Source organism: Homo sapiens, chromosome 10 (genome assembly GCF_000001405.40).
Source record: "Homo sapiens chromosome 10, GRCh38.p14 Primary Assembly".
Taxonomy (NCBI): Eukaryota; Metazoa; Chordata; class Mammalia; order Primates; family Hominidae; genus Homo; species Homo sapiens.
In genome coordinates, this window is record NC_000010.11 from 125,733,236 (window position 1) to 125,744,383 (window position 11,148).

At 37.6% G+C, this 11,148-nt stretch overlaps 1 protein-coding gene across 11 annotated transcripts in view; it reads left to right on the forward strand.

Moving 5' to 3' along the window:
• The window catches only part of EDRF1 (erythroid differentiation regulatory factor 1), a 44,431-nt gene that overhangs the window by 13,527 nt on the left and 19,756 nt on the right, over positions 1-11,148 (forward strand). For 7 of the 11 annotated variants that reach the window (NR_110859.2, NM_001202438.2, NM_015608.3 and 4 more), the window contains 9 exons: positions 169-316; positions 400-508; positions 837-948; positions 2,409-2,669; positions 4,683-4,754; positions 5,060-5,210; positions 7,228-7,416; positions 7,766-7,966; positions 9,823-10,041. Coding sequence is in view for 8 of the 11 variants with exons in the window: in NM_001202438.2 (NP_001189367.1) it covers positions 169-316; positions 400-508; positions 837-948; positions 2,409-2,669; positions 4,683-4,754; positions 5,060-5,210; positions 7,228-7,416; positions 7,766-7,966; positions 9,823-10,041 (1,462 nt within the window). In the remaining 3 variants the exon portion in view is untranslated. Of the gene's footprint in view, positions 1-168; positions 317-399; positions 509-836; positions 949-2,408; positions 2,670-4,682; positions 4,755-5,059; positions 5,211-7,227; positions 7,417-7,765; positions 7,967-8,984; positions 9,680-9,822; positions 10,042-11,148 lie in introns of those variants that run through there. The other 4 variants (XM_047425039.1, XM_047425040.1, NR_110858.2 and 1 more) reach the window with 3 other exon arrangements.

Sequence of the window (11,148 nt, forward strand, 5' to 3'; positions counted from 1 at the left end):
TTTGGGAGGCTGGGGCAGAAAAAAGATTAAAAACCACTGGTTTAAACACTTTCATGCTACATAGGTCTCTGTTTGCAGGACTTCTGCATTTGGTTGCTTTTTAAAAAGAAAGGTGTTGTTTCCTTGGGTTTTCTCTTAAACTGCTTTCCATCTGTCTGTATTTTACAGAAATATGAAATGATAAAGACAGAAGAAATTCCCAATTTGGAAAATTCTAATTTTTCTACTAAAGTCATAAAAGACATTGCACAGAATATTTTATCATTTTTGAAATCTAATTGTACCAAAGAAGGACATACCTATTGGCTCTTTAAAGGTAAGCTATTAATACTTCTTGAGTGAACAATAATTGATTTGGGTAACTGCTGTGAAATGAGTCTTCTTTGTTTTTCTTTTCAGCAAGTGGCAGCGATATAGTGAAGCTCTATGACCTCACTACTCTTTGTGAAGAAACTGAAGACAAATACCAAAATCCATTCACAATGCCGGTAGCCATTCTCTTGTACAAGTGAGTGCTTTAAGAATTTAAGATGAAGAAGTAGCCTATTATATAAAGTTTTAAAGCATACAGTCACAGTTTCCAAACCAAGGCTTTTAAATGCTTTTAGGTTTTCATAGTAGGGGGAAAAATACACGTACACATTGTACCAAATATTACTCAGCTTTCTTATGCCACCATAGTATAAACGTTTTGGGGGTTGTGGGTAAAGTGTAAAGTTTAGTATTTTGTTGTTTCTTATAGCTCTTTGTTGGAAAGAAACAAGAGCACTCCTAGACTTGAGTCTTGCAGACAACGATGAAATGGGCAGTAAAGTTGATATAAACTCTTTTTTTAGGGTTGCTTGCAACATGATGATGAAGAAGAATCAAAATAAGAAACACTATGGAACTATTAGAACATTGCTTCTTAATTGTCTGAAATTACTGGACAAAAGTAGGCATCCTCAAGTAAGATTAACATTTATGTATTCTCTAAAACAATCCTAGCATTCTAATAGGAGATTGTTACCTAGACAGTAAAGCCTCCTGATTCATATTCCGTAACTGCCCTATTCAGTGTGGTAGCCATTAGCACATGTGGCTGTTGATCACTTAAAATGTGCTTTGTCTGAATTGACATGTGCTGTAAGTGTAAAATACACACTGAATTTTGAAGATTGGATGTCTGTACCTATTACATGTTGAAATGCAATATTACATATATTGGATTAAATATATTTAAGTTGATTTCACAGATTCTACTTTTTAAATGTAGCTACTAGAAAATTTAAAATTTCTGTATGTGACTCATGTTACATTTCTCTCAGACAGCACTGCTCAATGAATTTAGAATTCATGTAATTCTAACAGTAGTGCCCTTAGTTCTTTGTTTTGTCGCTATTAGACCTTGTTACCACTTTGTTAATATAAATAGGGTTCACATTCCACACTTCAGGATATTAAAGCATCTCTTAAATAAAGGCCAGTAAAATTTCTTTTAAAGAGAAGGGGAAAAAGCATCTCTTAAAATATTCCCTCAGTCATGCTCCCAACAGTTTTACACCATCCTTACCCTCGGTTGTCTGATTGACAACTTTATTTTTCACTGTTAAGGCTATTTGTTGTATCCTGTTCAAATCAGTAAAGGTATGTAAGATACGCAATTTTTCTTTGAAGAGCCAAAGTAATTTTAATTGTAGCCACATTTGATTTAGAGATAAAGATTATCCTAGAGACCAAACTCAGAAATGTTTTTGAAGAAAAATAGTAAAACATTTTGTTTCTGACTGAAATACCTAATTGCTGACTGAGGTGGCAGTGTTTAGTGGAACTTGAGTGGTTTATTTGGATGTTAGAAATGGTGTTAAAGACTATTGTCTGTGATTAAGAACTGATAAATAGTAGAATGGGTTAAATGGTCATATATAAATGCTAATTTTAAGAGATATCAGAATGGACTTTTCCCTTTTTAATGTAATGGTTTTTTTTTTCTAGAACCATAGATTATATGATAAATATTAGTTACCTATTATAGAGAAACTTGAATTAATTTATAGTTTGTAAAGAAAAATTCTGGTTTCTCACTTGGCATAGGGTGGTATTAAATTTTTGTTAATATTTTAGTTATGACACTCTGTACTCAAAAGCTTTTGTTTGTCTCCAGTGAAATTCAGTTGACACCTTTTAAGAGGGAGGGCTCAGGGTGGAGTAATTTCGGGAAATAGGAAATGCATCAGCCTATAAAGATTTTGCAGAGCATACCCAGAGTATCAGTAGCTTTGAACTGGGAACATTTCTGTGTGTGTTACAGTCTATATGGTGGAAACAGCCTGTGTGCAGACCTCCTCCTAAAATTCGTTAGTATGGTAGTAAAATTCATGTATTTTTTGATGACAGTAATTTACACATATTTCTCTCTTTTTCATAAGATTATTGCTTCCGCCAATTACATGCTTTCAGAACTTTTTCAATTGGATGAACCTAAAAAGGAAGAAAATTCAGAATCTCCTTTAAATGAGAATTCTGATGAAAGTTATAGTGAAGAGGAGGAAGAGATGCCCGACAGTGATGAAAATGGATCCTATAGCACCAGCTCTGATCCATCAGATGATAGCAAAGCAGTAGCTATAATCAAGTCTGTTGGAGAACTATCAGTACCAGAAAAATACAAATCTATTCATCAAATCAGAGTAAGCCTTTAGAATTTATATTAAATTTTTATCAAGGAAACATAATTGTTAATCGAATATAGTTAGCCTTTCAAAAGATACCATTACTTCAATAAACCTTTCATGGTCTAGCATCTAGTAATCATTAGTTTTCTGAATTCTTAAAGTTGGTTTTATAATTGTTCGAGGGTAACTGACCCACATTATGCAAGCCTATAGTGGACAGGTGTGTAAACCAGGTGTCTGTCTATTCTTATGTGAAGGATTTTCCTTTCCAGTGACCAGTGTGTAGTCATAGTCATGTCTCATTACTAGGGCACTTCTATCCGGTGTTGGGGTTGCTGGGAAATGACATATATAGATTGCTTGGTGAACATAGAGTAGAGAAGGGGGTGGCTCTTGGAACTGTATATGGTGAGCTCTGGTACATTATCCCTGTGCTATATAGGACAGTACTTTTTTCGTGACTCTTGTGGTCATGTCTGTTGTATTGGACATGTCTCTGCCCTGGAGAGGGCCAGACAGATTTCTCCCTGTGTGGATTGCACTGACTCTACCATCAGTGTATCTCCAGGCAGTATATACCTTTCAACATACCGTCTCCCTATGATTAGATCCAGGCCAGCCTTAAGAGTTCTGGCTGTTCCCTGAACTGAAATACAGTCGTATTTACAGATAATCTCTTAATTTAAGCACTGAGTGTAACTTTCAGATGGAAACTCTAAGCAAGTTTTTGAGGGGCTATGTCTGTCACCTTAAAACATTGACCATCTTTCTGACCTTCACTTGCTCCATTGGTTTGCCGTGGCCATGCTGGGTTTTTTTTCTCTCAAAAGCATCAAGATTATGCTCATTGGAGGGTCTTTGTATTTGCTGTTGCTTCTGCTTGGAATGTACCTACCCTAGGTCTGTTCATGGCTGCCTTTTTTAAGGCTTAAGTCTTGACTGAAATGTTGCCTCTTCAGGGAGATGTTCCCTGACCACTCTGGCCAAAGCATGCTCTACTTTTTTGTCCTTCAAGGAGCCTATCTGTTCCTGAAGTTCTTAATGTTTGTCTTGCTTCACTAGAACGTAAGCTCCCTGCAGGTACAGACCCTCTATCTCCCATGTCTAGAACACATTATGGGTGCTCAGTAAATATTTGACTAAATGACTGCAGGAAAAAGTCATTAACTGTCCATCTAAATTTTAGTTCACTTTCAGCTTGAACTTCCACAGTGGAGTGAAAAAATGTTCTGGTTATAATCATTGATTGCAAAAGTTACATGTATCTGGAAAACTGCATTGTAACACTAGGCCATGGACTTACGGGGCAATTAGGTAATAATTAAAGATGTAATGAGTTAGTGTCACTATTTTTCACAGATAGCACTTTCTGTTCCGTATCTGAAGCACTCAAAAAATGCAGTCTTAGTATTCATATAAACATGTCTTTAGTTAGCCTTTCCTTATCCTCATTGAATGACTTTGTGGTATGGACAGTCAGCATGAGCTCCAGGGTCCCAGCTCCCCACTCACTCACCGTGTCCTCAGACAAATTGCTAAACTGTCTGTGCATGCTTCTCTTCTGTGCAATGAGAACAGTAATTCCAACCCCACGGGATTCAGCGAAATGAAATGCTTCACAGAAGCCCCTACACATAATATCCTTCATAGTTGGAGGTTGCTAGCTGCTTTTGCTCCTTAATTAAGCAAATAAATTAAACAACGAGAATATTGGTGATACTTGTTATTTCTAAATTGACGCTAATTGTTAATTGTGTTTTGTCCAGTATCGGTGCTAATTATGAGTGGAGCTGACCTATTAGATGATGTCTATATTTGTCTAAAACATTACTACTCTAGTTCTTGCTTTTTTGTCATAATAGAATTGTATTTAAAATTGTAAGTACTTAAAGCAACATATATGTTGTAGGATCTTTTTAAGCAAGATTTTTGTTGATAATGCTTACAGTAATTTAATCTTCAACAAAAACAATATGTTGACCTTAATACATTGGTAGTGTATTAATAATTTTATGTTTGTTCCTCAAGCCCAGTTGTGCATTTCCAGTTTGCCATGACACAGAAGAGCGCTGTAGACTTGTGCTTAGCTATGTTCTAGAGGTAAGTTTAAGTTTAGTCTTCACTTTTTTCGTAAAGTTTGTACTTGATTATGCAAATTACACTTGTTTGTTGGTATCTAAATGTTATTCTGAATTGTGTTCTGCTGCGATTTTTTTTTCCTTAAGCATAAAGTGAAAATCAGATTTGTTTTTCCCAAATCTTTCAGATCAAACATAGTTTTTGAAAGTCTGTTTGTGAGATGGAAATTTTCCTAAACGTATTCAGTAGTCCAGATACTGTCTTATATTTAGTTTTCAGTTGACCTGAAGTTAGATAGATAGTGAATGCTTTTCCTTTTTTTGCAGGGTTTAAAATCTGTCGATAGCAGCATCAAAAAAGAAAGCGACCTTCCAGCAGCTGACCCCAGCACTCCAATCCCGTTAAAATATGAAGATGAATCCTCAAGAGGGGGTCCCGAGGGGCTAGAGAAGCAGATGGCCTTGTTTTTGGACAAAAGTAAGTTGAATTGATGTGCAAATAAGGCCTTCAATAGAATAATACACTGGTTCTTTATCAACAGCAGACTTATGTCAATTAAGGCATTAATTGAAAGGCATTGAGAAAAAGATATCCTGTGAACTGGAATTAGGGGTAGTATTCTTTCATTTGAAATATAAAAAGGATAATTTTGATGTTTCATGGACATTTCTAATAAGAGCATAAGGAGCCTGCATCTTCCTGTTACCCACAGTGGGGAACTAATGCTTCAGCCTGGTGGAGTTCTCGCTGGATCGTGTAGGAGCCACAGACTTAGCCAGACTGCCTAACTTCATATCTTGGCTTTGCGAGGGCAAGTTGCTCCACTTCTTTGAGTCACTTTTTATCTCTTTCAAAATGGAGACGATAATAATGGTTTCTTTAAAGGGTTGTTAAATGATTAAATGATTAATATATGTAAAGTGCTCAGAACAGTGTACATAATAAGCACTATAGAAGTGTAGGCTGTTGTTACTGCACAGTACTTGAATAAGCTACAAATGTCACTTTTAAATTATCTAGTTCTTCAGGAATATAACATCATGAAGAATATATGGACTTCGAAGCAGAAGTTGTGAATTTCTTATTTTAACCTAAGTTGTATTTCTTTTTCCAACCTTATTTCTTTCCCCCTTTTAAATCAGTTTCAATTGTTTAAAAAAAAAAAAAGTGTAGAAAGCCTGTATGTTTGAAGTACATCTGAATCATAGTGGAAGCGCTTTCTGGACCCTTCTTCTTTTCCTGAACAAACATGGTGGAGGTAGGAGAGGAATAGATTTATTTCCCCAGCATTTATATAGTGCTGCTGGTATGCCAGGCTTCGGCCTACAGGCAGTAAGGAGATCACACCAGGACTTTTGCCATTCTTTTTTTCTGAAATGCCTTTTCTGTCTCCTTCTCCATCTCCCCTGTTGAAAATCCTGCTCAAGCTCAGAATCTCCATGTTTCCCTCTGTTCTCCATCAGAATTACTTGATTCTCTTACCACTTTGTCCTGTGAGCCTGCCTTATGTCAGAGTTCCAGCATTAAATGGTTTTACACACACATGCACACACACGGTTGTGAACAAGAACTTCATCTTAATTTTAGTTTCTCACAATGCCTCTTACTCACAGATGATGCTTATATCAGCAGAGGAAAAAAATCCATACACACATTAAACCATAATGAAGACTAAGTACCTTTCATTGCCTTGAAAGACTTGTGTTCTAGCTGATTAAAAAATGAGAAACCTTCAGGCTGGGGGAAGGGGTGGGTGTTTTTGTTATTTGCAGAGCAAAATTTTCCACAGTATTTTGTTCTTTGTCTGTTAATTACACTTAACATATTTTGTTGTGGTTTATGTTATCAAGGATAGAGGCCATATAACTTCATGTCACAGTTTCCAGTGCCTGGCACAGTACTTGGCAGAAAAATGATCATTTGTTGAGTAAAGAAGGTAGCGATGGGCTGGACTTTAAATAAAGAGTATTCCTTGTAGAGGAAACAGTAAACTAAGATGGGAGATAGGAAAAACAGGCATGTTTATAGGTGACAAGCAGTAACTTAACATTGGCTGATGGGTAGTAGGATGGACAAGTAGGAAGTGAGACTGAGAAACATGCAACTAGCTAAGTGGGGAGAAGCCGTTTTCATGTTTGAGGACAGGCTTTCACGCTGATCTAAGCTGTGCTTTAGGAAGGTAAACTTTGACAGGTTGACACATAGACTGGAAAAAGGAGACAGGTGTCACTCATGAGGTTAGCTATGTCAGTGACACTGGAAGAGAATGACAGAGTTGCCGATGTCAGGGAAGCAGAAGGCCTTAGAACTCCCAAGTGAGAGTCTTTTAACACGGCCATTTCACTCCAGTGTATTTAAGCAGTAAAGCATAGTATTTACCAGTCTTGTCACCTAAGTCTAGAGTGTTTCCATCAAGAAACAGAAAATATTTTTTGTGCATGAGACTTACAGTCAAATGAAATGTGCTGTCTTTTTTTTTCTCTCCATGTCACAGTGGGCTCCCTTCAGAAGGGCAATTATTCCAGTCAATCTGGAATGATCCCTGGCTCTTGGCAACATAAAATGAAACTTCAGCTGATTCTCAAGTCATCAAAGGCCTATTATGTTTTGTCCGATGCTGCCATGAGTCTTCAGAAATACGGAAGAGCATTACGATACATTAAATTAGCTTTGCAAAGCCATGGTAAGCCACTATAAATGAATATGTTTAATAGGCACTGGGAAGAGAGAACAGAGAAGGCATCTGAATCACAGTGGAAGTTTACTCCTATTTTTCTAGTAAATCTTTATTTTAAAATGACTGTTTCCAATCCTGTGTGTGTTACCTTCTATTTTAGTTTCTGCTCAGTGGTTTAACATCTCTTTGCTTTGAACTACATGAAGCCGTAATATGTATTGTTGGACCTAAAATAAACAGAATAGATACAGTGCTACAAAGCGTTCAGCTGGTAACACAGTTTCTTCATATTTCCTATGATCATTAATTTTTTTCTGCATTTGTGTTTTTTCTTCTTCCCTCCCTTTCTAAACAGATACTTATTGCTGCCTCTGCACCAATATGCTTTCCGAAGTGCTGTTGTTTCTCTCTCAATATTTGACACTTTGTGGTGATATCCAACTAATGCTGGCCCAGAATGCAAATAATAGAGCAGCACACCTTGAAGAGTTTCATTACCAAACAAAAGAAGACCAGGAGATCCTGCATAGCCTTCACAGAGAGTCCAGTTGCCAAGGTGTGCCACAGGCTTGGACCACGTGGTTCACAGTGGGACTGTGCAGTCTAGCTCATGCTTATTTGAGTATTCAGAAAAGGGGTAGAAATATTAGAGTTTTGATATTTGCTCTGTATTTATTTATTTATTTTTTGAGACGGAGTTTCGCTCTTGTTGCCCAAGCTGGAGTGCAATGGTGCAATCTTGGCTCACTGAAACCTCCGCCTCCCGGGTTCAAGCAATTCTCCTGCCTCAGCCTCCCAAGTAGCTGGAATTACAGGCATGCGCCACCATGCCCGGCTAGCCCACCTTGGCCTCCCAAGGTGCTGGGATTACAGGTGTGAGCCACCACGCCTGGCCTGCTGTTTTATTCATTTCCTAATTTTAAGATTAAGCATGATCTTGTGTATTTGTATAAAATGGTTTTTAAGTATTTTATAATTACTGTTTATATAACTAGAACTAAATATAAAGTAAGATATGAAGACAGTTGTGTCAACTTTTTATTTTATTTTATTTATTTATTTTTTTGAGACACAGTCTCGCTCTGCCACACAGGCTGGAGTGCAGTGGGGCAGTCTTGGCTCACTGCAACCTCCACCTCCTGGGTTCAAGTGATCCTCCCATCTCAGTCTCCCAAGTAGCTGGGACTAGTACATGCGCCACCACACCTAGCTAATTTTTGTATTTTTGTTAGAGACAGGGTTTCACCACGTTGCCCCAGACTGGTCTCAAACTCCTCAACTCAAGCGATCCTCCCACCTTGGCCTCCCAAAGTGCTGGGATTACAGGCACGAGCCACTGCACCCAGCCTTGTGTCAGCTTTTTACACTCTTCTTTTCATGAGGTTCTTCTAGGTAACACTTGTAGTCAGCTAACAAAGCCATAGGTTTCCTTTTGAAAGGTATAACAGTTGGTGAAGGAGGTTAATTAACCTTCTGAATGATTCCTTGGGGCTGAAATAAAGTGATCATTGTTTTTAAAGTTAGTTCATAGCCACCTGTCTTGCTTAATATGTCACTCTGTTTGGAATTGTCAGGCTTTAAAACTGGGAAGTAGAATAATCTGATCCGCAGCAGCGATATCCCTCCCTCTTACCTCAGCACAGTGTGTAACCACGCTGCCATTAACACAGTGAATGAAGTAAAAGATGAGTCTTCTGAAGGTGCTTCTGTAATGTCTCATGGGGTTGTTTTATTATGCTCTTAAATTGTTATACTGAATATTACTTGATGTTTGCCTCCCAGAGTTTTAGACAATTCATAGCTAGAGGAGTATACTGGGGGAGAGGGAAAAATGTGTTATTTTGTAATAGTTTTGCCCTTTCTTCCCCTCTCTCCGTCTTTCTCAAATAATCATGTTTTAATGTAGTAGGAAAGTCCTTGGTGTATTTTTACTACTCCCATCATAGCAATTTCAGTTAAATATTCTTTTTACTCTAGTCCCCACTAGATGGCATTTTTAATCTTCGAGGGCTTCTGTAGCAGCCTCTTCAGTGACTTAAAGTTAATATTGGGACATTATTTCAAGAACTATTTCCATTAGTTAAAAATAGCAACTTTACTTTGTATTAGTGGACAACTTTAGGTCCATTCTAATAAACAAGTGTACCTGGGAAAACCTGGGTCACAGAAATTGTTTGATATTCATAGGCAGGAAAATATTTTTATCCAACATTAATATCCCAAGAAATATAATTTTATAAATAAATAGATCTTTATTATGAAACTTAAATATTGTTGTATTGATTGAATCTTGGTATACTTACACTATATTGCATTTTTTATTACTTAGAATTTAGAATCTCAGGTTCATTTGGATACTGAGGAAGAAGGAATCACATGATTCGCATTGATGTATCCCTTTTTTCTTTTCAGGATTTGCATGGGCAACTGATTTGTCTACAGACTTAGAAAGTCAACTCTCTGTTAGTTGTAAATGTTATGAGGCTGCTAATGAAATCTTGCAGTTTAGTGACTTGAAAAGCCAAAATCCAGAACACTATGTACAAGTATTAAAGAGAATGGGTAACATTAGAAATGAAATTGGTGTGTTTTACATGAATCAGGCTGCTGCATTACAGAGTGAGAGACTAGGTGAGTATCTCTTTAGATTCCTCTCTATTGCTTGTTCTCTCAGAAAATTATGCTAATTTTGTATGAGTCAAGCAAAGAACTGTGGCACTTGATTTTATATCATAAAGAGGTGCTCTATTAGAGAACCTCTTATTATTCTTAAGAAATAGAATTAGGAACACATGATTTTCCCTTGGAATGAATTATTTCAATGTTCTTCATTCTTACTTTTGTACTCACTCCATCTGATCAATTCAGAAGCAAATGGGACATCCAGCCATGTGCCAGGCTCTATGTTGGATATGTAACTGGCTAAAATATGGTTCTCTCTTCATGTTGGGAAGCTAGATAGGAACACAAAGCCTCAAAATGCTGTGGATGAGTACCGACGAAGTATAATGGGAGACTGGGGAAATAAGACATTTATGGAGGTTATAAGTTAGAAGGCTTTTGGGAAAGTGTTGTTGAGCAGGGTGATGCAGGATGTGTAGAGCATCAGCCGGCAAATGTGAGGAAAGGAGGGCACTCCAGACCAAGGAGGCGGTGTGAGGAAGAAGCCAGGGATCTCAAAGGGTGCAAGTGTACGTTTAGAGGGAGCAAGAGGCCTGTGTGAGGAAGATGTGGGATAGTGGGTAAGTAAGATGTGGGATGGCGTAGTAAGATGTGGGATGGTGTAAGTAAGATGTGAGATGGTAAACCATTTGGGCCCATGTTGAATTTGAGTTCACTATGGAACATGTATGTGAAAGGTATAATTTGTAGTCAATTTGAAGTGTGCTAAGAGCTGTAGGGCTAGTGAGACAGACTGAGAACCATTCACATAAAGGTAATAGTTGAAGCCGTGAGAATAGATAAGAATGTAAAGCCTGGACACAGGGACAGAACAGAAAGGGGCTGAGGTAGAACTGAGGTGAGCAGGTAAGCTGAACATCTGTGGGCCTTTGGTTTTGGTTTTGGTTGTTTCTTTTTTTTTTTTTTTTTGAGACAGGGTTTTACTCTGTCGCGCAGGCTAGAATGCAGTGGCATAATCATAGCTTGCCACAGCCTCGAACTCCTGGGCTCAAGCAATCCTCTCACCTCGGCCTCCCAAGTAATTTTTAAAAATTTTTTTAGAGATGAAGTCTTGCT